General features: G+C 52.7%; 1 protein-coding gene across 3 annotated transcripts, besides 11 other annotated features; it reads right to left on the reverse strand.

Moving 5' to 3' along the window:
• Positions 1 to 1,679: 1,679 nt before the first annotated feature.
• FGR (FGR proto-oncogene, Src family tyrosine kinase) lies at positions 1,680 to 24,801 on the reverse strand. Of its 3 annotated transcripts, none has more exons than NM_005248.3 (13): positions 24,681 to 24,801; positions 14,705 to 14,767; positions 13,307 to 13,545; positions 12,658 to 12,760; positions 11,175 to 11,273; positions 6,809 to 6,912; positions 6,473 to 6,622; positions 5,305 to 5,460; positions 5,050 to 5,229; positions 4,466 to 4,542; positions 4,046 to 4,199; positions 2,835 to 2,966; positions 1,680 to 2,738 (listed from the first exon to the last, which is right to left on the reverse strand). In NM_005248.3, exons 3-13 carry the CDS (start codon positions 13,530 to 13,532, stop codon positions 2,530 to 2,532), a joined length of 1,590 nt encoding a protein of 529 aa, NP_005239.1. In that variant the 5' UTR covers positions 13,533 to 13,545; positions 14,705 to 14,767; positions 24,681 to 24,801; the 3' UTR covers positions 1,680 to 2,529. The 3 variants fall into 3 exon arrangements, with proteins under 3 accessions (NP_005239.1, NP_001036194.1, NP_001036212.1); NM_001042729.2 differs by lacking the exon at positions 24,681 to 24,801 and adding an exon at positions 16,076 to 16,213; NM_001042747.2 differs by lacking the exon at positions 24,681 to 24,801 and adding an exon at positions 15,662 to 15,867.
• Positions 2,676 to 3,176: an enhancer, noted in NCBI's record as "H3K4me1 hESC enhancer chr1:27939571-27940071 (GRCh37/hg19 assembly coordinates)". NCBI's record gives its function as "activates a minimal SCP1, AML or CMV promoter by ChIP-STARR-seq in naive H9 embryonic stem cells {active_cell/tissue: H9 hESC(naive)}" and the evidence as "EXISTENCE:reporter gene assay evidence [ECO:0000049][PMID:30033119]".
• Positions 4,114 to 4,661: an enhancer, noted in NCBI's record as "H3K4me1 hESC enhancer chr1:27941009-27941556 (GRCh37/hg19 assembly coordinates)". NCBI's record gives its function as "activates a minimal SCP1, AML or CMV promoter by ChIP-STARR-seq in naive H9 embryonic stem cells {active_cell/tissue: H9 hESC(naive)}" and the evidence as "EXISTENCE:reporter gene assay evidence [ECO:0000049][PMID:30033119]".
• Positions 8,015 to 8,174: a silencer, noted in NCBI's record as "silent region_525". NCBI's record gives its function as "represses an Ori minimal core promoter by ATAC-STARR-seq in GM12878 lymphoblastoid cells {active_cell/tissue: GM12878}" and the evidence as "EXISTENCE:reporter gene assay evidence [ECO:0000049][PMID:35858748]".
• Positions 12,502 to 12,711: an enhancer, noted in NCBI's record as "active region_560". NCBI's record gives its function as "activates an Ori minimal core promoter by ATAC-STARR-seq in GM12878 lymphoblastoid cells {active_cell/tissue: GM12878}" and the evidence as "EXISTENCE:reporter gene assay evidence [ECO:0000049][PMID:35858748]".
• Positions 13,128 to 13,949: an enhancer, noted in NCBI's record as "H3K27ac-H3K4me1 hESC enhancer chr1:27950023-27950844 (GRCh37/hg19 assembly coordinates)". NCBI's record gives its function as "activates a minimal SCP1, AML or CMV promoter by ChIP-STARR-seq in naive H9 embryonic stem cells {active_cell/tissue: H9 hESC(naive)}" and the evidence as "EXISTENCE:reporter gene assay evidence [ECO:0000049][PMID:30033119]".
• Positions 14,774 to 15,068: a silencer, noted in NCBI's record as "tiled region #6936; HepG2 Repressive non-DNase unmatched - State 22:ReprW, and K562 Repressive non-DNase unmatched - State 22:ReprW". NCBI's record gives its function as "represses a minimal TATA promoter and a strong SV40 promoter by Sharpr-MPRA in HepG2 and K562 cells {active_cell/tissue: HepG2 | K562}" and the evidence as "EXISTENCE:reporter gene assay evidence [ECO:0000049][PMID:27701403]".
• Positions 21,518 to 22,018: an enhancer, noted in NCBI's record as "H3K4me1 hESC enhancer chr1:27958413-27958913 (GRCh37/hg19 assembly coordinates)". NCBI's record gives its function as "activates a minimal SCP1, AML or CMV promoter by ChIP-STARR-seq in primed H9 embryonic stem cells {active_cell/tissue: H9 hESC(primed)}" and the evidence as "EXISTENCE:reporter gene assay evidence [ECO:0000049][PMID:30033119]".
• Positions 21,527 to 21,576: an enhancer, noted in NCBI's record as "active region_561". NCBI's record gives its function as "activates an Ori minimal core promoter by ATAC-STARR-seq in GM12878 lymphoblastoid cells {active_cell/tissue: GM12878}" and the evidence as "EXISTENCE:reporter gene assay evidence [ECO:0000049][PMID:35858748]".
• Positions 21,707 to 21,846: an enhancer, noted in NCBI's record as "active region_562". NCBI's record gives its function as "activates an Ori minimal core promoter by ATAC-STARR-seq in GM12878 lymphoblastoid cells {active_cell/tissue: GM12878}" and the evidence as "EXISTENCE:reporter gene assay evidence [ECO:0000049][PMID:35858748]".
• Positions 22,247 to 22,296: an enhancer, noted in NCBI's record as "active region_563". NCBI's record gives its function as "activates an Ori minimal core promoter by ATAC-STARR-seq in GM12878 lymphoblastoid cells {active_cell/tissue: GM12878}" and the evidence as "EXISTENCE:reporter gene assay evidence [ECO:0000049][PMID:35858748]".
• Positions 23,877 to 23,926: a silencer, noted in NCBI's record as "silent region_526". NCBI's record gives its function as "represses an Ori minimal core promoter by ATAC-STARR-seq in GM12878 lymphoblastoid cells {active_cell/tissue: GM12878}" and the evidence as "EXISTENCE:reporter gene assay evidence [ECO:0000049][PMID:35858748]".
• Positions 24,802 to 25,367: the final 566 nt, after the last annotated feature.

Consider the following 25,367-nt stretch of genomic DNA (forward strand, 5'->3'; position numbering starts at 1 on the left):
GAGACTGAGAGCACTGATTTTGGAGTCAGAAGACTTGGTGTAAGCCCCTGCTCTGCCACTTCTGTCCTGCTGATTCACTTCACTGTGCCTCAGTTTCCTCATTAGCAACATGAAGATACAACAAACTCCTCCTCATAGGGATCTGCGAGGATAAAATCGCAGCATGCATGCACTTAGCAGGATGCCTGGCACACAGTCAACAATTTGCAAATGGTAGTGACAGAGAGAGCTCACATGTATTGATCATTTGATTACTATTTCACAGATGAGGAAATTGAGGCTTCGAGAGGTGAAAAACTTGCACTAAACCACACAGCTAGTGAGTGGTGGAGGCAGGATTCACACCAGGCACTACAGCTCCAGAGCCGTGCTCTTCTCTGCTTATTTCATGGCAGGCAGAATCACTGGCCTCTGGCTTATACATCAGGCTCTTGTGAGTTTGGTCAGCCAGAAACTGTGGCCCTTGGGAAGCCTTGGCCCCTGAGACTTTTTCTGTGGAGCTAAGGCTCCCACCCCTATGACAACCCCTCTGAGCAGCCATTTGGCTTCTCTCCATCTTACTGCTCTCATTCAGCAACCCCCAGCACAGGGCAGGACACAGGGAATTCTCAATCTGCATTGATTGCCTTATCTTTCTTTCCTTTAGGTCACCCAGCATAGGAGGATTTCCAGGGAATCTTTCTACCAATAACTAGAGGAGGAAGGATCACACACACACACACACACACACACACACGCACACACACACACTCCACAGAGGCTCTCTTCCCAAAGCCTAGAGGCAATGAAGTCTAGTGAAAAGACCATGAGCTTTGGTGTAAGATCTAGGTTCAAATCCTAGCTCTGTCACATACACTGCATGCTCTTGGTACATCATGTAACCCCTGAGCCTCAGTTTTCTCACCTACAAATGGGGCTAATCACAGAACCAGGCTCAGTACTGGATTAAATTGAAAAGATGGCTGTAAATACATCTGACATTCAGAAGACACTTAATAAGTGAGTTATTATTATTATAATTTTCCTCCTCTGCTTGACTATGAACTCCTCCTCCAGGGCAGGGACAGGTCTTATTCATGTTTGTGTTCCCAGGGTCCTCCTTAGCAAAGAGTCAATGCTTTGCAGAGTCAATGCTCAGTAATGATTTGCCAATTGCTGCAGTGATTCCCAGCTCCCAGATTCCTTCTCTGTCCATTCCCTTAGTAAGTCAGATGGTCAACAAACATTTTCTGATGGGAGAGGTGGGAATCTTTATTCCCTGCTCCCCTTGTTTCCACACGGAGGCATGTCAGCTTCCAGAGTTTCTCTCAGGGGAACGAGGGAGTGGGAAGATTCATCATCGCGCAGGTGCACTGCAGATTGTTCAGCATCCCTGAACCCTACCTGTAGGATCCAAACAAATCAAACTGCCTTCAAACCTCTCCAAAAGCTCCCCTGGGGGCAAAACTCCCCTAATGAGATCCAGTGAGTTAGACTAACCCTCAGGCCTCTTCTCTCTCCTCCCCTCTCTTCTGTCCTCTTTTGGAGAGTCTGACAGCTCCAGAGGGTCCACTGTGGTCTTCCTCCCTGCCCTGGCAAAGGAGGCCTAAGGTTGTCCCATTGCGCCTGTGATGAATGGCAAATCTGATGAACTCAGATAAAGAATTAGCAAACCTATTATACACAGATTGAAGGCCATATCAGCAACGAAGGGGACATTTTAATGTATCTTCAGCTGCTTGTCTTCTAAACTCACGTGCAGATGAGCAGTGGGACTCTGGGTGTTCTAAAACTCCACACCTTGGATGCCCCGTGCTTGGTAGGCATTAGGGCCCTCTCCAGCTTCCCCTGCTGCTGCCTGTAGCCATATCTGTCCGTTCACCCCCTATTGACCACCCCCGCTCCCAAAGGAAGGTTCAAGGGTATTTCATGGTTTGAGGATTCATATTGTCATTTTACTTATTTACAGAATCAATAAACCAACACATACACACTATTCAGAGAGGTGGGAAGTGCTCTGCAACCTTCTCCCTCAAACCTGGGCCCAGACCCCAGTCCTGGACCACTGCATCCACCCAGCAGGAAAGGGGTCCAGCCAAGACTTTTCCTGACTTTGTAACTTACAGACACAAGAGAATAGAGGGTAGAAGGGAAATTCTTGGCACCTGGACTAGAGTGAGATAAAAGGAGAGTAGGAAAGCAGTGATAGGAGAGAAGTGAGGGAGGTACATACAGTTTTATAAATAACTAGACAAGGTCTGAGCACTTTGGGTGGGGATGGAGTGAGAAAGGCTACAGGCATGTAGGGGCCTAAGTGGAAAAGGAAGAAATAGTGCTTGGGGCCAGAGCGGATGAGAGATCAGCTCTGGGCCTCCTTTTGCCCCATCTGTAAAACAAGTAGGTTGCCCTAGGTGGTGTCAGAGCAGCCACGTCCTCGGTGATGCTAGGACTCTATGGGGTTCTAAGCCAGCCTGGGGGCTTTGGAAGAACAGCTCTGGGGATTGGCAAGGACTGGTGGCCACCGCCAGAGAGGGTTGATGCCCGGACAGGCTATGTCTGATCCCCGGGCTGGTACTGTGGTTCAGCGGAGGTGAAGTAGTCCTCCAGGAAGGACTGCAGGTACTCGAAGGTAGGCCTCTCCTCCGGGTCCAGACGCCAGGTCTGTTCCATGGCCTCGTACAGGGATGCTGGGCAGCCTGGAGGGCACGGCATGTGGTAGCCCTGCTCCACCTGTTCCAACACTTCCCGTTTATTCATGCCTGAAGGATGGGTCTCTGTCAGTCAAAGGGACAGCCAGGTGGAAGCCCTTCCCCGTGACCATCCCCCACCCCAGCCCTACCCCTGGCGAGGCAAACCTGGGTAGGGGATTCGGCCCTTGGTGATGAGCTCAGTGAGCAGGATCCCAAAGGACCACACGTCTGACTTGATGGTGAATCTGCCAAAGAGGGCAGCTTCTGGGGCTGTCCACTTGATGGGGAACTTGGAACCTGGAGAAGATGGGGGAGCAGGGAAAGTTAGTGAGGGGGTCCCTGGAAACAGCTGGATTAAGAGAATGGGGTCTGGGCGCAGTGGCTCACGTCTGTAATCCCAGCACTTTGGGAGGCCAAGGCAGGCGGATCACTTGAGGTCAGGAGTTTGAGACCAGCCTGGCCAACATGGCGAAACCCTGTCTCTACTAAAAATACAAAAATTAGCCGGGCATGGTGGCGGGTGCCTGTAATCCCAGCTACTAGGGAGGCTGCGGCAGGAGAATTGCTTGAACCTGGGAGGCTTCAATAACCTGAGATCGCACCACTGCACTTCAGCCTGGGTGACAGTGAGACTCCATCTCAAAAAAAAAAAAAAAAAAAAAAAAGAGACAGAGAGAGAATGGGGACTCTAGGGATGAGGATTTCGGGGATCCTGAGCACAAGGGTCTCTGGGCATAGTAGAAAGGACATGGTATCTAGTCAACACCTACTATGTGTCTAGTATAGTGATGGGCACTTTCCAAAAATCGCAATAATTCTTATCCTAATAACGGCCAATACTTGGCTAGCCTTTCCTGTGTGCCAGACACTGTTTTAAGTGATATGCATGCATTAACTCATTTAACCCTCCCAAAACCCCCATGAGATAGAGACTCATTTTACAGACGAGGAAACGGAGACACTGAGTAGTTAGGTAACTTGCCCAGATCACAGAGTTAATACCTGGCTGGGATTCATACTCAGGCATTCTGGCTACAGAATTCCCACTGTTACACGCCATTGTCTTTCATTCAAGAATTATAGCTGTGCCTGTCACATAGCAGGTGCCTGGTAAACATCTGCTGACTTCCTGTTATCTGAATATTGTCACTTTACAGAAGAGAAACGGCAGCTCCCAGAGGTTAGGTGACTTGCCCAAGGCCACATGGCTGGTAAGTGGCCGACCTGGGATTTGAGCCCAGAATTGCCTCTCATACTACATCAGGATGGGGCGACTCGGGCGACCTGGAGTGAGGAAGGGTTCCTGAGTGCGTGGGGCCCCATGGAAGTCCCTTGTTGCATGGGGAGCTCTTGGAAGGTGGGGTGAAGCAGGGCACCTTGGCAGGGGTTGTACTCATCGTCCTTGATGAGACGCGCCAAGCCAAAGTCTGCGATCTTGCACGCCAGCCGCTCCCCAACCAGGATGTTGGCTGCCCTCAGGTCGCGGTGAATGTAGTTCATGCGTTCCATGTAGGCCATGCCCTCAGCTACCTGGGGGACCATAGTGTGGAGAGATGGGAGCTCATGTGGACTCACAACACCGTGGCCTGTTTGAGGGGTGAGGGACCATTTGAAAAACCCACTTTCCAGAGGGGGAGACTGAGGCCCAGAAAGAGAGGCAGTACCTCTCAGGCACAGCTGGAGGCACAGCTGATGCAGGGGGCGGGGCCGCCCTCCCAGGCGTTTGAAGGGACAGAGAATTTGTGAACAGTTAATAGGTGGGAGGTCCGGGAGGTAAAGGCTGCTGGCCCAGTTACCTGGGCTGCCATGTCCACCAATTGGGGCAGCCTCAAATCCTGGCCCTCTGGGTTCTTGAGAAAATCCAGCAAGCTGCCTGGGAAGAAGCCAGAAAGTCAGCGGCAAAGCCCTACCCCGGGCCCCAGCCCCTCCTCCTCTCGCTTGACCCCGCCCCTCAGCCCCTCCCACCTGGACCCGCCCCTCACTTAGGACCCCGCGGGTGCCTCAACCCCTCACTTGTCTCGTCCTGGCCCTGCTGCCAGACACGGACTCTGCCCACATCTCGTTTCTTCTGTTCCTTGGTGTTCCGGACACGACCCACCCAGACTCCGCCCCAGACCCTCCCTCATTCCCGATTCTGCCTTCGTTAGCCCAAGCCCTACCCGCCTAACACCGGAGGCACCGCCCCCCTCCCCAGCTCCCTAGTGGTCTCACTCGGCCCGGCTCCCACCTCAGCCCTCCAGTCGTTTTACACACCTGGTCCCTTAGTGGGACTCTGCCCATTGTCCCTTGTCCCTCACAGATCGCGTCCCAGGTCCCACGCCTGAAAACTCCCCTCTTAACTTCACCCCGAATCCCGCCCGACCAGGCTCCGCCTCCTGACCGTGACACATGAACTCGGTCACGATGTAGATGGGCTCCTCCGACACCACGGCGTACAGCTGCACCAGCTTGTCGTGCCGCAGCAGCTTCATGACCTGCGCCTCCTCCAGGAAGGCCTTCGGGGACATGGTGCCCGGCTTCAGCGTCTTCACCGCCACCTTAGTGCTGCCGTTCCACGTGCCTGCTCGGAGGCTGTCTTGTCAGGACCCTCTCCCCCGAGCCCAGGCCCTCGTCCCGGCCCCCGGGAGCTCCGTACCCAGCCACACATCCCCGAAGCAGCCGGTGCCCAGCCGGCGCTCCAGCGTGATGGAGCTGCGGCTGATCTCCCAGGCGTCCTTGGCCAGGCCCAGCGTCTGCGGCTTCATGATGGTGCAGGGCGCGATGAGCAGGTTGCACAGCCCGTCATTCACCTCTAGGGGAGGGGTCATGAAGTAGAGTCACAGGTGGGCCAGGACACCCCCCTCCACTCCTTATCCTATCCCAGCCTGGTGCCAGACCCTAAGATCAGTTATAAGGAACTAGGCCCCAAGTGAGGTCACAGGCCAGGAAGAAAGGCAACCCGATCCACTAAATAGGGGAACATGTTGGTGCCCAAGGAAGGGGGTGGCACCCAGAGGGAGAGATGATCCCTGTAAGCCTTCTGTAAGGACTGGGGGCCTCCCATAGGAGGTAGCCTCCAGCTGGGCCTTGAAGGATAAGGTGGGATTCTCACAGGTGGAAATGGGGTTGGGATTCCAGGCAAAGGTGTGGACATGAGGCCCACGGTCTTCCGTGGACCTCATCCTTGGCATAACCAATCAAGGCAGAAACGTGGGCATTGACTCCTGCCTTCCCTTCACCCCCACAGCCAATTCTCCACCAAGTCAGGCCTATTCTGCCTCCTACCCAGCTTCAGAATCGTCTGCTTCATCTTTACTCCACTGCCACCGATTTAGTCTGGCCTCCACCACCTCTCACCTGGACAACAGCCACTGCCTTCTAATGGACCCCTCACTCTGCCTTGGCCCCTGGCATCCAAGCTCCACCAGCAGCCAGAGTTTCTCACAAAAGTGAGACCAGCCTCTGTCACCCCCTGCTCAGGGCCCTGTGATGATGGCTCCCTGTCTGCCCACAGGGCAGTCCTGGTGCCTTGGTGGGGCATTCAGGCGGCACAAACACTCCATCAAGTTTCCACAAATTGAGGCCTTGAGGCAAGAAACTGGCCAATGCCTTGCTCAGTCATTAGGGGGTGCTGCTTGGTGAAGGACTGCTTTCCTCCAGAAGCTCACAGAGCTGGATCCTGGGCTGGCAGACCCCATCCTTGGGTTCTGGTTTCCGTCTGGCCAATACTGCTTGGTAGTCCCTTCCCTTCTCTGGGCCTCAGTTCCCCCATCTGGACAATGCTTCAGTTGGTTGGTTCAGGGATCTGAGGCCCCTGCCCTCACCCATGTAGTGCTGCACCAGCTCCTGCACCGAGTTGAACTGAACCCGTGTGGTGATGTAGTAGCCGCCCATGTCCAGTTTGCGGATCTTGTAATGCTTCACATGATCGCCTCTGGTCTGATCCCAGTCCCGGATGGACAGGGAGTAGGCACCTGTGGAGAGGATCACTTTTGATCTGCTGTTCTCCTCTGCCCTAGTCTGGGAGCTGGGAGAGGCCCGACAGCAGCATCCCTAGGACCTGGTCCCAGTCTTGGCCTTAACCCAAGCAGCCTACCGCTCCTAGCCCTACCCCAATGGCTGGGCCTCCCAGTCGCCTTGGGGCGTGGCACCACCCCTACCTTTGGTGGTCTCGCTTTCCCGAATGAGAAAGGCCCCCTGGGGGTTGCCTGGTGAAAGCAGCTGCCTCTCTGCATCCTTTCTCCCAATCTTTCCAAAGTACCACCTGTTGGGAAAGGCAGGCAAGAGTCAGGTACGCTCTGCTCAAACCTCACCTCAGCCTCCTGCACAGTCACCTCACAAGCCAAGACTCCATTTTCCCCATGTGTAAAATGGGGCTGGTACACCTGCTTCACATCCTGGCTGGGAGGGTTACAGAGAAGGGGAGTGTAAAATGCCTGGCACACAGTAGGTGCCCTGCAAAGGTTAGCATCTCTTCTCGTTAGGTTTCTCTTGAATTAAAATTGCTACAATCACAGTCATCAGGGTGCCATGGAGCCTCAGTTCATCTCACTGTAGCCCTTCTGTGCACTCATTTTACAGATGAGGAAGTTGAGGCTCAGAGAGGGAAAGTGACCTGTCCACAGGCTGGCTAATGAGCTCCACCTAAAATCCTCTGCCGCTCTCCCTAGTTCTTTTTTCACCACTCCAGTAATCAGATCACTCAGATCCTTCTCCCACCTCCACCTCCAAACTCTTTCCTCCTTTGGCCTCCAGAGCAGCACAGTCTCCTGCTTCTCTTCTCTCTGGCTGCTCCCGCCCCGGCTACTGCTCTTCCTGCACTCTCTTAGACTTGGATGTTGTCCTAAGTCTAAACTTCAACCTCAGGCCTCAATCACTCCTCTCCCTTGGGGATTCTTTCTGGGATTGAACCGTAGCCCTAAACCAACTGTGCAGGTACAATGGGGGAGCTGAAGTGACCACAGGTGCCATAGAAGACTCAGATGATCATGAAACTGGCCTGTGGCCATCTTGGGTTGAATTAAAGGAGCCTCGTGTTTTCAAACCAAGGGTGGTGGAAGTCTCAGTGGACCCTGGGAAGGTCAGTCCGCCCCTGGGTACTAGGCACAGTTCAGGAAACAGGGGAAGGCATTGGCAAGTGGTGTGTCCAGGAGGGCAGGCAGGAGGGGGACGGAGGAAGTGTTGAGGGACTGTATAGACAGGACACATTGTCAAGTTTTTTCAAAGCCCTCCCCGCTCCCACACGCATGACATTAGCTACCTCCTTAATAATCACTATAATAATAACACACATATTTCGTGTTAGGGTCTGCCTTAATACACGTATGTATTCACTTAATTCTCCTAACAATGTTGTGAGATAGCTACTATTGTTAAACCCCATTAGACAGTCAGGGCAGCAGTTGCTAGAACAGGAACCCAGGCTGTCTGCTTTAGGGCCTGTGCTCCTAACCACACTACCCGTAACCACAACACTGCACTGAGCACCTCTCAGTGCTTGGTGACACTGGCTCCAAGATGTGGACACAAGCATGAAGCTCCCCACAAACCTCCTGTCCTCTGCATAATTGTCCGTCCTCTTCTTCACGCCTCCTACCACCTCCCCAGACTTGGGCCTCACCGCACTTGACCTCTGAACCTCGCCTACCCGCTCCTGCTCAGTGATACCCACTTCCTGCCAGCAGCCTCCACCTGCATGCAGCCTCTCTATTCCAACAACCTCCAAACATGCCCACATTTCTCCCTTCCCCAAAGGAAACTATTCTAAGTTCCATCTTGCCGTCAACATTCTGCTGTATCTTCTCGCCTTCCCTTCACTTGAAAAAGTGCTTCACACTTGGGTCTCCACTTCCTCACCTCCCACTCCCTCCCAGGCTCTGCTGTCTGGCCTCCGCCTCCCACCCTCACACAGAGAAATCTCTCACCAAGGTCACCCCCACTGCCAAATCCAGCGGTAGCCTCTGACACGCCCTCTCTTGTTTCCTGAAGCTTCTCCGCTCTCTCGGTTGTTCTGACTTGGCCTGGTCTGGATTTCCTCTCTTCTCCAATGGCTCCTTCTCCTTCGAGGGCAGCTTTCCCCAAAGTGGGGTCCTAGGGCCAACCTTTTGCACTCTCCACTCTCTTCCTTAACCGTCTATATAGCTTTTTTAAAAATTTTTAATTAATTAATTTTTTTTGAGACGGAGTCTTGCTCTGTCACCCAGGCTGGAGTGCAGTGGCTCGATCTCAGCTCACTGCAACCTCCACCTCCCAGGTTCAAGTGATTCTCTTGCCTCAGCCTTCTGAGTAGCTGGAACTACAGGTGCCTGCCACTACACCCGGCTAATTTTTGTATTTTTAGTAGAGATAAGGTTTCACCACATTGGCCAGGCTGGTCTTGAACTCCTGACCTCATGTGATCCGCCCGCCTCGGCCTCCCAAAGTGCTGGGATTACATGCATGTGTCACCGCCCCCAGCCCCCTCCTATATAGCCTTAATGATCATCTTTACTCTCATGAGTCCCAAATTTCTGCCCTAGCCCGTTGTGCCCTCTGCAAGGGCCACAGCAAACAAACTGAGGAGTTTTAGTGGCAATTAAGAAAAGGTGTCCCTTCCTCTGGGCTGATTCAGGGGCATGGATTAGCATGGGCTGGTTGCCTGCCATACAAAGCACAACCTAATCGAATTGCTGGCAGCTTCGTCCACCTGGATGTTCCTCTCCACAAACCACAATCCAACAAGTACCCCCTAGAACTCATGAACTTATACCTGCTCCTGTGTTTCCCGCCTTAGCAAATGGTGCCATCATCCACCCAGCTCCTTAAGGAGACTTTGAGCCACCCTTGATTCCTCCCACTCCCCATAACCCAAATCAGTCACAGAGTCCTGGATTCTCACTCTGCAAAGTCTCTTCAATCCCTTCTTTTCTCATATATGTATGACATTTGTGAGGATAGATTTTTAAAAGCTTTTTGAGCCTCAGTTTCCTCATCTGTAAAATGGGAACAATAATAATATCAAGGGGCCGGACACGGTGGCTCATGCCTGTAATCTCAGCACTTTGGGAGTCTGAGGCAGGAAGATCACTTGAGGTCAGGAGTTTGAGACCAGCCTGGCCAACATCGTGAAACCCCGTCTCTACTAAAATTATAAAAATTAGCCAGGTGTGGTGGCGTGCACCTGTAGTCCCAGGTACTTGGAAGGCTGAGGCAGGAGAATTGCTTGAACTCAGGAGGTGGAGGTTGCAGTGAGCCAAGATTACGCCACTGCCCTCCAACCTGGGCAACAGAGCAAGACTCTGTCTAAAATAATAATATCAAGGCCAGGCATGGTGACTCATGCCTGAAATCCCAGCACTTTGGGAAGCCAAGGTGAGAGGACTGCTTGAGCTCAGAAGTTTGAGACCAGCCTGAGCAACATAGCAAGATTCTGCTTCTATAAAAAAATATACAAAAATTAGCCAGGCATGGTGGCACACACCGGTAGTATCAGCTACTCAGGAGGCTGAGGTGGGAGGATCACTTGAGCTCAGGAGTTTGAGGCTGTAGTAAGCTAAAATCATGTCACTGTACCCCAGCCTGGGCATCAGAGCACGCCCCTGTCTCTTAAAAAACTAATAATATAACGGTGTTATTGTGAGAATTAAGTGAACCAAGGAGATAAATACTTGCTGTAGTATACTTGCTCAAGTATATAAAGGTATTCAATGAATGATAAATTCCTGCCTCTTGGGCCAGGTCTCGGTGGCTCATGGCTGTAATCCCTGAACTTTGGGAGGCCAAGATGGGCGGATGGCTTGAGCTCAGGAGTTCAAGACCAGCCTGGGCAATATGGCGAAACACCATCTCTACTTAAAAAAAAAAATATTAGCCAGGCATGGTGAAAGAATCATCTGAGCCAGGGAGGTCAAAGCTGCGGTGAGCCGAGATTGTGCCACTACACTACACTCTAGCCTAGGCAACAGAGTAGGACCCTGTCTCAAAAAAAAAAAAAAAAAAAAAAAAAAAAGAAAGAAAGAAAGAAAAGAAAAGAAAAACAAAAAGAAAAAGAAAAAGAAAAATTCTTGCCTCCTTAATAGAATTAATTCCTAGTAATGCTCCCTTGCACTTTTTCAGCACTTTACAATTTTTTAAAGCTCATACACTGTTGTTTTTACTGGGAGGCAATATGTGTAATGCTTAGCAAATGCAGCCCAACTATCTGGGTTCATACATCAGCTCCACCACTCACTAGCCATGTGAACTTGCACAGGATATTTACTTTCTCTGTGCCTCAACTTCCTCATTTGTGAAATAGGATAGTAGTAATTTCTAACCCCGTTAATACACAGACAGTACTTTGAATAGTGCCCAGAACATAGTACATGCTCTATTATCTACTATTATTATTATCAGTACAATCTTCTTTTGTTCTCACAATGACCTTACAAAATTATTAGATAAGGAGACAGGCTCGGACTGGAGCAATGACTTGTCCAAGAGGTGGCCTTGGAGTCTGGACTCCAGGGTCCTGTCCATAGGGCTGGTCTTGCCCCAATCCCTACTTACTCTTCAGCTTGGATTGAGTCAACAGGGGCCACGTAGTTGCTGGGAATGCAGCCAGTTTTTCCGGAGCTGAGAGACCGAGCCTCCCACCAGTCACCTTCACTGTAGGCACAGAACAGGGCATGGTCAGCAGCACCTCCAGCCCCCAAGGCACCCTGAGGCCAGGTGGAGCCACACAGGTCTGCAGAGATGAATCCTGCCAAACCCTCATCTTGGACACCCCCCACCACTGGGGCTTTTGTCCGCTCTGCCCCAGCCACTGCAGCTTCCCTGGGAGGGCTTGTCCCTGCAGAAGGAATAAGCTCGGGGGCACTTAGGGCTCTTAGCTTCTTCCTTGGGCTCCCCAGCTGGGTTGGGCTGGGGATTGGGAATTCAGAGGACAGCTGACTAGGTCACTTCCCCACAGAAAATGGCTACTGATTTCCTTCTGGATAAAATCTAGACTTCTCAATGTGGCTTAAAAAGCCTGACAGAGACCAGGTGTGGTGGCTCATGCCTGTAATTCCAGCAGTTTGGGAGGCCCAGGCAGGCAGATCTCCTGAGGTCAGGAGTTCGAGACCATCCTGGCCAACATGGTGAAACCCTATCTTTACTGAAAATACAAAAAATTAGCCAGGCTTGGTGGCTCTTGCCTGTAGTCCCAGGATCACTGGAACCCAGGAGGCGGGGGTTACAGTGAGCCAAGATTGCACCACTGCACTCCAGCCCGGGAGACAGAGCGAGACTCCAACTCAAAAAAAAAAAAAAAAAAAAGCCTGGCAGAATCTGCCTCTGCCTACCTCTCTAGCCTCTGTTCTCTCCCATTCTGCATCCCATATTTTATGAACCACCTAAGGTGAACCACTTTGTGGTTTCCAGAAGTCATCATTTATTCTCATTCTCTCTCACTCTCTTCCTCTTTTCTTACCTCTTCCTTCACTGTCTATTCATTTTTATTTTTTATTTTTTAATTATTTATTTATTTTTTTGAAATGGAGTCTCCCTCTGTTGCCTAGGCTGGAGTGCAGTGGTGCAATCTCAGCTCACTGCAACCTCTGCCTCCCGGGTTCAAGTGATTCTTCTGCCTCAGCCTCTCAAGTAGCTGGGATTACAGGCATGCGCCACCATGCCCTGCTAATTTTTGTATTTTTAATAGAGACAGGGTTTCACCATGTTGGCCAGGCTGGTCTCGAACTCCTGACCTCAGGTGATCCACCCGCCTTGGCCTCCCAAAGTGCTGGGATTACAGGCATGAGCCACTGCACCCGGCCGTCTATTTCATTTTTATAGCCTCAGCTTAAAAATCATCTCCTCCAGGCCGGGTGCAGTGGCCCAACACCACCCCCCTCAACCAGCACACAGTTGCAGTCACCCAGGGTTTTTATTGTTATGTATATGTGTTCCCAACTAGGCTGGAGCATTCTGAGGCTAGGGACCAGGTGGGATTCCTGTCTGTGTCCTGCTCCCAGCCCAGGCAATGTTCTGACTAGGTGGCCTGGTCACTTACGTATTGTTCAGGATGTGGAACTTCTCGCCCTTGGTGAAGGTGAGGTCATCCTCAGTTCGAGCCTCATAGTCATACAGGGCAATGAACAGGGTCACCCCAATCCCTGCAGAGTCAGGGCTACTCAGCAGGGTAGGGCATGGGGCAGAAGCACCAAGGGGGCTGCACCCCAAATTCCTGTTCCCCAGCCAGGTGCTGCACCTCCCCACTCCTTTAGTGCTCTGGTTCCCAAAGGCCTTTGGGGTCCAAGGAATTTCTGATTTGGTCTCCACAGCTTAGGACACACAACTTCAAGCCCATTCCTCCCACCATGGAGGATCCCCTTGTTGCCCACTCCTCCTCTTCCCCACCAAGAAGACTTCCCATCTGGGAAGTGGCACCTAAAAGGGCAAGAAGTTTCTCTTTGTCACTTGCATCTGTCACAGGATCCTGCCCCTCTCAGACTGGGAGTAGAGCTTCTTGACCCTCCCCTGCAGACTGTGGTTTCTGATGGGAGGGCTGTACAGACTCCCTCAGCCCATGTGATCTTGAAAGCGGGGTTGTATCTGCCACATCCTCCTGGAGGCTCCTAAGGGCAAGTTCGCATCTCTTCTTCTTCCCTCAGTTTCTCCCAGGATCCAGGCAGCTCCTGCCTCCGACCCCTTGGACTCACCTGACACACCCCTGATGGTGCCACTATCAAGGAAGCCAGGGTTGATGGCCTGAGAGGAGAAGTTGCTGTAGTTGGGGATGTGGGCAAATGAGGATGCAGGCCGGGCCTTAGTGGGGTCAGGCCCATAGTGGTCTGCTGCCCCGTAGCTTCTGAAGTCCCCTTCCAGGCCAGCATCCTCCTTGGCCGTGGCCACCGGCTCCAATTTCTTGCAGAACACACAGCCCATTCCAGGTTCCCTGCTACAGAATGGGGCATGCCTCACTCAAGGACCCCTGCCAGGTGCACCACCCTGTGCACACACGCGCATGCACATGCTCATACGCTCATACAGGCACGTGGCTTTCCCTCTTGGGCCTAGATTGGGGTCCTCCCTGTAAGGGATAAAGGCGGAACTGGGCCACCTACTGTACCGTTCAGTCTGCCTCACAGTATGTCCCCCCTCAGTGCTTCTCTTCCCATTGGCTCATGTCTATATCTCTGGGGCTGGCTTTCTACATTGGGATATTGCTATGCTTATTTGCATATTTTTGCCTCCTATTGCTTTGCTTTTTTTGTTTTGTTTTGAGACAAGATCTCACTCTGTTGCCCAGGCTGGAGTGCAGTGGCACAATCATAGCTTGCTGCAGCCTTGATCTCCTGGGCTCAAGTGATCCTCTGGTCTCAGCCTCCCAAGAACTGGGACTATACAGGTGCGTGCCAGTACCCCTGGCTAATTTGTTTGATTTTTAGTAGAGACAAGGTCTTGCTATATTGCTCAGGTTGGGTCCTATTGCTTTGATATGTTGTGTTTCTGTGACTCTTTCAGTGTGCTTGTACATGTGCGTCTTTGTGTGTCTCTAAGTATGGGTGAGTTTGCCTGTGTGGGTATGCATGTGTGTGCAGCTCTTTGTGGATGTCTGTCTGTGTGTGCAGGTTTGTGTGTATACGAGAGTGTATAAAAGTCTCTGTGTATGTGTTTGGCTGCATGTGTATATGTCTGTAAGACCGTGTTTGTGTGCATGTGTTTCTGTGTGAGTATGTGTGTGCCTGTCTGTGTGAGTGGGTGTCTCTGTGTCTGTGTGTCTATGAATGTGCACCTATCTCTGTGTGGGAGCAGTGTGCCTGTCTCTGGATGTGTGTATCTCTGCATGTATGTCTATATATCTGCGCATGTTTGTGTGTGAGTGTGTGTGAGGCTGTGTGTCTGCACCTGGAGAGTCACTGCAGAGGGGGATCAAGGCCATTTCCTGTCGTGGGTCCAGCCTTCAGCCTCTCAAGCTGCCTCATTCTGGCTCCCCCATCCGTTACCTAGCAACAGGGTCCTTGTAGGAGGAGGAGGCTGTGAGGAGTTGTGGGGTTCAGGAAGGCCACCCCCACCCTGTTTCCTGACCCTGAAAGCCCTCAGTCTACCCCACTCACCCCTTAGGCCCCTACTCCTGGGTCAGTGGGGCTGCGGCATGATCCTTGGGAGGGGTCAGAGACCTGAGGGTGAGACAGAAGGACAAGGAAGATGAAGTCTCTGCCAATGTTTCTGTCAGCAGCTGCCCAGCTCCTGCCCTCTTCAGGAAGCCAGAAGGCCTGGGCTCTGCCCCAGCATGACTTCTGCCTTCACTTTCCTTCCTATCACCCCTGGCACACTTACACAACCCCCGTCACATAGGGCAAACCACCCACACCAGCTCTCTTTCACACTCATACTCACCTGACCCACCAGCACAGTCACACAATAACACTCACAGCATATATTTGCATGAGTGTGCGTGCCAACCCCATCACACGCCAATACAGGCTCTAACAAGCCCAAGCTCACAATAGCACACACACATACACATGCACATATACATGGGGTGCCTGCCAGGTTAACAGACGAACACACTCAGACACACATGATTTTGAACATTATAATCATCTCTCTAACAGGATTTCTATCAAGCCATGCTCAGCTCCCTCACAGTCCCCAGTCACCATCTCCTAAAAACCAGTTCTTCCGGCCAGGCGCAGTGGCTCACGCCTATAATCCCAGCACTTTGGGAGACCGAGGTGAGTGGATCACAAGGTCAGGAGTTCGAGACCAGCCTGGCCAATATGGTGAAACCCCGTCTCTACTAAAAATACAAAAATTAGCCAGACGTGGAGGTGGGCGCCTGTAGTCCCAGCTACTTGGGAGGCCGAGGCAGCAGAATCACTTGAACCTGGGAGGTGGAGCTTGCAGTGAGCCGAGATCGCACCACTGCACTCCAGCCCGGGTGACAGAGCAAGACTCCATCTCAAAAACAAACAAACAAACAAACAAAAAACAGTCCTTCCTCTGAACCCTGCTGTGCTCCCAGCCACCCTAGGGTTCCATGTGGTGGCTGAGTGAGAGTGGATACCTACCTCCGGAGCTCTCCTCCTATCCCCATACCAGAGAAAGGACCAGGTCAGAAGCTGGGGCTACCAGAGTACCTTGGGAAGCCCCACAATGAGCCAACCCTTTTCTGGCAGCGGTATCCTCTGAGCAACAGGGCAGGAGGTCATTGAGCAAGGGTCCCCCACACCCTGCCAGAAACATTGCCATTGCAACACTCAGAGAGGAACCGACTGGTGAGAGGGCTTGGTTTCCTAAGATGTGAGAATGGAGAGTTTAGGGTGGGGCCAACCTTGTGAACCCTGATTTGCCCCAGAGGGGCCCCAAGGTCCTAGAAGAAAGGGCCCCCAGCTTCTCTCTCTCGATCCCCAGTCCAGTCATCCTTACAGATATTCTCTTCCTCTTCTCTCTGGGTCCTATCCTTTCTACCTAGCACCACTCACCTCTTCCAGAAAGTCTTCCTGGATCCACCAGGTCCAGTTGCCTGGCTGATGGTTCCGTCACATCAGTGCTTTGGTCTCCACCCTAGCCCCACCTGCCCCTCTCACCCTTTGCTCTAAGTGATCTCTCATGTGTGTATTGGGTGGGGGTGGGGGCATCACACCCATGTGGTGAACTGTGGGGCGGGCTGTGGTGAGAAGCCTGCCCTAAAATAGCCCCTGTTCACTGGGCCCTGCCTGAGACCTTTGCCCCGGGACCCCTCCCTGGGATGAAACCACTGTGTCTAAAACGCCCCAGGATGCTACAGGGCTAGTTAGAGCCAGGGCAGAAAATAGAGGTGGAGGACTGGAAGCCATCCAGGGCCCAGCGGGAGGGATTTCAGGAACTGGTGAAAAGAGAGATGGGGCTGATACAAAAACAAGGGTGAGGCCGGGCACAGTGGTTCACACCTGCTATCCCAGGACTTTGGTAGGCCGAGGCAGGATGATTGCTTGAGCCCAGGAGCTTGAGACCAGCCTGAGCAACATAGGGACACCCCGTCTCTATAAAAAAAAATCTTTTTTTAATTAGCCAGTCCTGATGGCACCCACCTGTAGTCCCAGCTACTCGGGAGGCTGAGGTGGGAGGATTGCTTAAGCCTGGGAGTTCGAGGCTGCAGGAGCTGTGATTGCACCGCTGCACTCCAGCCTGGGAGACAGAGTAAGACCCTGTCTCTATTTTAAAAAGAAAACAGAAAAACCAAGGGTGAGAATAAAGCCTTCTCACAGGAAGACACACATACACACCTCAAATGGCGCACCATGCTGATACCCAGATCCACACAGCCCTTCAGACCCCTTCTCAGTTGGCACATTACCTCAGCTGCCTCATGCACAGGCTCCAGGCTCCTCTGCACAGATTCCTAGCACAAACATCTTCTAGTGTACACACACCCCATATACACACACCTCCAGCCCTCATCCGTCTGCACATAGATGTGCATGCACATGAACACACACACACACACACACACACACACACATCCTCTATAAAAGAATAGCAAATACAAAATTTATAGCGCTTACTATATGCGCTGGCCACTGCATTAAGCACTTTACCTATATTATCTCATTTTATCCACACAACCCTATGATTTAAGTAGTATTATTATTATTAATTTATTTATTTTGAGAGGGAGTTTCACTCTTGTCACCCAGGCTGGAGTGCAATGGCATGATCTCAGCTCACTGCAACCTCCGCCTCCTGGGTTCAAGCCATTCTCTTGCCTCAGCCTCCTGAGTAGCTGGGATTACAGGCACCCAACACCATGCCAGGCTAATTTCTGTATTTTTAGTAGCGATGGGTTTTCACTATGTTGGCCAGGCTGGTCTTGAATTCCTGACCTCAAGTGATCCACCTGCCTTGGCCTCCCAAAGTGTTGGGATTACAGGGGTGAGCCACTGCACCTGGCCTAAGTATTATTATTACTGATGAGGCAACTGAAGCACAGAGAGGTTTGGAAACCTGCCCAGGGTTGGCCAGTCACAGTGGCTCATATCTGTAATCCCAGAACTTTGGGAAGCCAAGGCAAGAGGATTGCTTGGGTCCAGGAATTCGAGACCAACCTGGGCAATATGGCAAATCCCATCTCTACAAAAAATACAAAAATTGGCCAGGCACGGTGGCTTACGCCTGTCACTGCACTCCAGCCTGAGTGACAGTGAAGCTCTGTCTCAAAAAAAAAAAAAACAAAAAAAAACCAAAAAAACTCCAAAAATTAGCTTGGCATGGTGGCACGTGCCTCGAGAGGCTGAGGCAGGAGGACCACTCAAGACCAGGAGATAGAGGCTGCAGTGAGCTATGATCATGCCACTGTACTCCAGCCTGGGCAGCATAGTGAAACTCTGTCTCAAAAAAGAAGGCCACAGACATGATGTATCCTGGTGTTTGGCTCCAGAATCTGAGCTTTCAAGCATTTCTCTCCATTGCCTATCACAGATACAGACAGATGCAGCCATTCCTGCTAGCATGCACAAATGCGGATGCCCCCACACTGTCCCCCCACCCCCCATGTAGGGATACACACACACACACACACACACACACACACACACACACACAGATATACACAGCCCTCTCCGGTGACATGGACCCACATAGAGCTCTCCTCTATAGGAGAACATAGACTTATACAATCTCTCATGTTCACACACAGATACAATATTGCCACTTCCAATAATACCCACGTATATATTGCCACAACATATCTATATCAGATGGAGGGGATCCCTGAATTCTGCATGCCCAGTATGGCTGGAAGGGAGAGACTATCAGCATCTGAGAAGGAAGCTCTGTGGGCTCAGGAAGAGCCCTGGCAGGACTGACCGTGTCGTCAGCAGGCAGAGGTAGGCAGCTCTTGGGTCTTATCACTTCCAAACTTGATGCAGACCAAAGCCCTGGCCAGGCCTGGCTCTCTGGGGACCAGTATGCTGAGGCGTCAGGGGATGTAGGGCACAGGGTATGACATCTGCATGGCCCAAGGCAGGGAGGGGCCACACTGCATGTAGCCATGTTCATGCTGTTTTGTCAGAGGAAAGAAAGAGATGGGGAAAGACAGAAAAAGGAGAGGCAGAAAGAAAGAGAGAGAGAGGCAGAGTTTGAGAGATACAGGGAGATAAAGAGAAAGAGCCAGAGAGACAGAAAGACAGAGAGATAGAAGGAAGAGACAGAGACAGAGAAACACAGCGTGGTATGCTGGTAAACTGACTCTCAAAAAAAGAAAAGAAAAGAAAAGAAAAAGCCCTGATTTGTCACATTTTCTGATTTCCATGGTGTAAATATTCCCACAATGGCTGATTTAAAGCTACCAAAGTGACTTCCTGAAAGCTGGGGTGGAAGAGACACACAGAATGAACTCCCCTGAGCCAGTAAGTAGCTGGCTCCAGCACACACTGCCAGAAAGAAACAGAGACAAAGAGACAGAGGCAGAAATGAGAATTAAGGAGAAAGAGTAATCAAGAGACAGAAAGAGATAGAAACAGAGAGAGGCAGAGATGAAGAGAAAGAGAGAGAGAGAGCTAAAGAGACAAGGAGGGAAAAAGACGGAGGGAGAGCAGATTGGGTTCACTCTGCTCAGACATCTGCATGAAAATAGCCCTAGGACTCTTCATCCTCCTCTTGCTCTGATCTCTATGTGCCACCAATTCTTTGGAGAGTAATTTGACTTCCTAGAAATCCAGGTGGCAGTAAAAATGAGCTAATTTATTAAACAGTTACACAGTGACTAGCATCTTGCCAAGTAACTCCCAGTCATGGTCTTATTTGGTGAACCTATGAGGTGGGTTTATGACTACCCTTATTTTACAGATGAAGAAACTGAGGCACAGAGATGTTAAGTAACTTGCCCAAGATTACATTGTGAGTAAAGGATGCTAAAATGCAATGCTGATCAACTTGTTGCCAAAAACCACTGTAACCACTAGTCCATTCTGTAATCCTAGTAGAAGCAATAATGCAAGCTTGTCCATCCCATGGTCCATGGGCCATATGCAGCCCAGGACAGCTTTGAATGTGGCCCAACACATATTAGTAAACTTTCTGAAAACATTATGAGATTTTTTTTGTGATTTTTTTTGAGACGGGGTCTCACTCTGTTGCCCAGGCTGGAGTAAAGTGGCACAATCTTGGCTCACTGCAACCTCCGCCTCCTGGGTTCAAGTGATTCTTCTGCCTCAGCCTCCTGAGTAGCTGGGACTACAGGCGCGCTGCCAACACGCCTGGCTAATTTTTTGTATTTTGAGTAGAGACGGGGTTTCACCGTGTTAGCCCGGATGGTCTCGATCTCCTGACCTCGTGATCTGCCCGCCTCGGCCTCCCAAAGTGCTGGGATTACAGGCATGAGCCACTGCACCCGGCCTTTTTTGCAATTTTTTAAAGCTCATCAGCTATCATTAGTGTTAGTGTATTTTATGTGTGGCTCAAGACAATTTTTCTTCTTCCAATGCGGCCCAGGGAAGCCAAAAGATTGGACACCCCTGCAATAACGTGTGTCTCTTAAGGAGCACCTAGTGTTCTCAGCCCTGTGCCTCATGCTCTAAATCCTTGATACAGCAGGCAGGGCGCAGGTGGGGGGAGGGAGGGGCGCAGGAGAGAGAGAGAGAGAGCCATATCTGCCCAGATTTTCTCAGGCAGTCGCTGAATCTGAAGAAGCCAGGTCTCTCTTTTCTCAGCACTGAACTTCGCTGCCTGCTAATACCAGAAAGGGGGCAGCTCAGAGAGTAGCCACAGCATCATTCTGGGCACTTGGTTCTGTTTATAAATATGTCTCTTGAACATCTGGTTTACAGGAGTCGCCTCCGAGATCCCCATCAGGGTCAAAATCAGGTTACAAGTATCAAACTGAGGTCCAACCCTGGACCGCAGTGCTCCTCACTTCAACATCTGCCCTGTGGCCCTCCCCAGCTCCATTCTTCAGTAGCTCTATGACCTTGGATCTTTGACATAAGCCTCTGAGCCTTAGTTGTTGCATCTGCACCTTCTGAGTAGTTGTTGTGAGGGCTTCATGACATGTGGCTCTTGCCCGATGTGCAGTGGCCAAGTGTGACCAATAACCAAAACCAGAATGGCCCCCAGGGACCATTTACCACTCCACCTTCTCTTTTGCATAGGGGGAAGTTACTTTCCCAGGATCACACAGCCAGACAAGGGATTCAAAGTCAGGACTATTAATTCAAGTCCAGAGTTCTGTTCCCTCCCCCACTGCTGTGTTCTCCAAAGCCTGAGCAGGAGATCATGCTGTTCCTAACTAGTGAATGTCATACTTCCGGTCGAACACACCACCCCTGTCATATGGCAGCTGGTCACCCAGCAGGGAGGGACCCTGCCTCCCACTCACCCCTACTGCTGGACATAGGAACCCCAGGTCCACCCATCCTTTTTCGAGGCCCACACTTCCCAAAGCTATGCCAGTTCTTTGATGTAGACACAGGATGTCCTGCCCCCGCAACCCTCACCAAGTATCTGTGGGATCTAGAGGCAGATTTAGGCTCAAATTCTAGCCTGCCTGACAACTAGCTTAAGGCATTGGGCAAGTCAGTTCATCTCCCTGAGCGGCAGCATCTTTGCCTATAAAATAAGAATACAAATGTCCACCTCCTGGGGTTGCTTCTCAGCATCAAATGGGGTCACATCACTGAAAGCATCAGACATACAGTAAGTGCCCAGTGAACTTTCACTTCCCTCCTTTCCCTTGAGGAAGGTCCTCCGTGGCAGTGACGGTGTGGGACCAGAGGGTACAGAACTGGGCAGGGCTGAGAAGAAAGAGAAGTTCCCAGGGTGAGGTGAGAGGGCTGAGCTGGCCCAGCCGCCTGGGGGATTTCATCAAAAGGGAACCGGGACTTTGGGCAGGGGCAGGAAACCACCATCCTGCAAGAGTTCCGGCTTCTCCTCCAGGCTCTGGGCTGGCCGGGGGCAGGCCAGGGCTGGAGGGTCAGGGAGCAAGGCTGAGGTCTGCAGGTGACTCCCATCCCACTGTGCCGCATCTCTCACTAGGCCCTATCCCTCAGACCGGGCGGGCTTCCATCCCTCACCCTCAGTCCTCTCACCGAGACCCTCCACCTGGCTGAATGCCAGTGCCTTTGCTGAGGCCCCCACTGCTCATTAACTCCCTTTCTTTCTTTCTTTGTTCTTCTTCTTCTTCTTCTTCTTTTTTTTTTTTTTGAAACAGTGTCTCATTCTGTCGCCAAGGCTGGAATGCGATGGTTCGATCTCGGCTCACTGCAACCTCTGCCTCCCGGGTTCAAGCAATTCTCCTGCCTCAGCCTCCTGAGTAGCTGGGATTACAGGCGTCTGCCACCATGCCCAGCTAAATTTTTGTATTTTTAGTAGAGATGGGGTTTAGTCATGTTGGCCAGGCTGTTCTTGAACTTCTGACCTCAGGTGATCCACCCACCTCGGCCTCCTAAAGTGCTGGGATTACAGGCGTGAGCCACCGTGCCCTGCCTTCATTAACCCCCTTTCATCTCACACCATCCTTTCTTGAGGCCTCGAAACTGCCTCCTGAAGAAGACATACCCACCCAACCCTGTCTGACTCCACCACCACCGTGGTGAGGCCAGGTGTGTGCAGGATCGGGGGTGGCCTTTACCCTCCATGTGGTCCCGAGGCCATTAGCAGTTTTTTCCACTTCTTGTGGGTAAAAGTGGTTTTCCACCTGTTGCTGAAAACCACCCACCAGCCTCTAAAACACAGCTCTTTAGATGCCATCTGGCCTGGGACTCAGGATTTTCAGGAGATGGAAGCCATGGCGGCGGGGGGCGGGGGTCCAGGGGCAGCCAAGGGATGGGAGTCTAGATTTCACAGTGTGGCCAGACAGGAAGCCCCCTCCCTGGTCCCTCAGGGGAGTGGGGCGGTGAGGGGGACATCCTGCCTTTTCCCACCTTAGGTCAGCCCAGTCTGCTCTGCGTGGGAAGAGCCCTGGCCCCTACTTCCCCAGCTCTGGGGTTCCCTACCCAGCCTCCTGAGGTCTGGCCACTTCCTTTGCCACATCAGCCCCAGGTGGCTGCAGAGATCACCCAAACATCCACTCATATGCTCAAGGGTTCATGCTCATTCACTCAGAGCCCAAAACATACAAACACTCACACCCTCACTGGAGGAGGGTGTGAGAGCACCTACTCACTGGAACAGGAAGTAGTCATGAAGCCCCTAAACCCCACACCCTCCTCCCCGGAGGGTACATGAAACTTGGTAGGGATGAGGTAAGGATTCAGGCCTCAGCTCAGGCTACATCAGAGACGAGATGTCCTGGAATTCTGGTCCCTACTGTTGGCCCTGCAGGTTGCCAACTCCCAAACCTCCATCTTCCCATCTGTGAAGTGGGAACAGGGTCCTGCTCTCCCATCATCACCACAGTCGGAAGGATGCCAAGGACATCAGGGCCCCTGAGAGTACACACCCGAGGGGCGGCCAACTGGATGCAGCACCAGAGAGGGTGTGAGACAGATTTTAACTCTGCTGACCTCCCCAGTATGGGCTCTCATCAGAGCCATAAACTATTTAGACGCCAACTGTGTGCTGGTCCCTGGAGGCCCTGTCAGTGAGAGCCGGGCAGTCTGGTCCCCCTCCATGCTTTTTGTTGTTGTTGTTGTTTACAGACAAAATCTCACTCTCTCATCCAGGAGCTCTCACTGCAGCCTTGAACTCGTGGGCTCCAGCGATCCTCCGGCCTCAGCCTCTGGAGTAGCTGGGACTACAGCAGGTGCCACCACTTCCAGCCTTCTGGCTAACTATATTTTTTTGTAGAGACAGGACGGGGGTCTCCCTGTGCTGCCCAGGCTGGCCTCCTCTGCATGTTTTTGAGAAGGTGAAGGGGAGGCTCGCTGAGTCAGGGATAGCCCTTAACCCTTCAGGACACTCAGCAAAAACTGCTTTCTGCACCTGATTCTCGTGGGGGAAGAGTGGACACAAGGATCATTTCTCACCATAGTTCAGATGAGGAAAGTGAGGCCCAGAGAAGCCCTGTAACTTGCCCACAGTCACACAGCAATTAAGGGCCCAGTCTTGCTAAGAACCCAGGTCTCTCAAACAGCAGATCCTCCACCCCAGGATCCCTGAACACAGCGGCATCGCCTCCTACCTCGGTCGGGAAGCCCACCCCCCACCCACCAGACCGAGGATTCCAAAAGGGGGCGAAGGCGGAGAGCAAAGGGGGCTGCGCCCACCCGGAGCCCCGCGGCGGCCCAGCGCGGCCCGCCCTCTCGTTGCCTTGGAGGCAGCCCCTGCGGGCACTCGCGGTCAAAGGCAGGATTTCCGTCGGGGCGGCAGCAATTCCCGGATCCAGCGGGGAGCGCGGGCCGAGACCGCCGCGGGCGCGGAGGGGGCGCCCGGAGAGGCCTGTCCCTGCCGAGGGCGGGGACTTCCCCAGGAAGCGGGGACCCACGCCTCGCGCGCCCGGCAGGAGTCCCCTGCAGCCCGGAACCTACCGCAAGGGCGGGCCGAGAGGGTCGCGGGGCCGCGGTCGCGGCCGCTAACGTTACCCTGCGGGCTGTGGGCTTCACCCCGACTTCGGCCGGCTCGGAAGAGGGGAACTTCCTGGACCCGCAATTGCACCCCAGGTTCTCCGTCCTCCAGAAGTCGTTCTCCTCAACCCCCTTCCCGCCAGCTCCCTCTCCTGTTCCCTCCAGCACCCCCACCCATTTCCCCTCTCCTGGACCCATCAGACCCGTCGGCTTCTCCCCAAAGTCCCACTCTCACGATCCCTTCAGTTTCTCCCCCAGACCGTCCTGGGGATTCCCCTTAATCCTTCTCCCCCACCTCAGCCCCCTTCCTAAACTCTTATCAGTCCCCTCCATTTTACCCACTAGACCTTTTTGGGGGTCCCTTTGGTCGGCTTCCCCCGTGCTCCCCTCCGCCCTCTCCTCCAGGTTTATCAGCCTTGCTTTTCAGGTCGCCCGTTTTCCTCCTTAGGCCTTTTCGGGCTGGGGTCCCTTTGGCTGTCACCTTGCTCATGTGTCCCCCGACCCCCAGGTTCAGGCTTCTCTTCCCGTGTACCCCCAGTCCTCTCTCCAGAGCCTCGAGGGGGAGGGCACTGCTTGACCTGCCCAGTCCCCACCCGACGCTGTCGCTTACCTGGAGCCCAATTCTGCCCGGCCCCGGGGTGAGCCAGCCGGGGCTCCAGCAGCCGCGAGTGCCGGCGTGCGGGGAGAACTGGGGTGCTGCCCGCCTCTGACCGCCGCCCCTGCTGGGCAGGGAGGAGGAAGCCGCCTCGGACTTCTCTTATTGCAGTCACGGCCGGCGGGCGGTGATGGTGGCAGGGAGACAGTCACGCCCTAGCCCCAAGCCAGCTCCCCGCAGCGAGGAGGCGCCCCCAGATCCTAGGCCCACCCGCCCCCACCTTCCTCCTCCCTGGTTTACGGGAGGTCGGCTCTGTCACCCTCCAGACCTGAGTCCCCAGCCCGGCCTTCCCAAAAGCCCCCTCCAAAAGCGCAGTTTCAGCACCCCCGAAGCACCTGCTCTTTTAGGATCATTGAATTGGAGGTTAAGAGGGGCTTTTCTCCATCACTGAGGACCAGATCGGGACTGGCCTTACTCGAGTTCTCACAGCCAGTTGACTTCAGACTGCTGTCACCAGAGCCACTGGACATGGATCACATGGACCCTGTCAGCACGCCTTCCCTTCCTCAGGGGCTGAGCACTGGGGACACAGGGCTGTTAAGGGTGGTGAGCAGCAGAAGACCCTTCCCTTAGGAAACTGCCTTTCAGAGGAGTGGGAAGGGTGTCAGCCTCCCCCAGGCACCCAAGTTTTAGAAAAACTGA

Source organism: Homo sapiens, chromosome 1 (genome assembly GCF_000001405.40).
Source record: "Homo sapiens chromosome 1, GRCh38.p14 Primary Assembly".
NCBI lineage: Eukaryota > Metazoa > Chordata > Mammalia > Primates > Hominidae > Homo > Homo sapiens.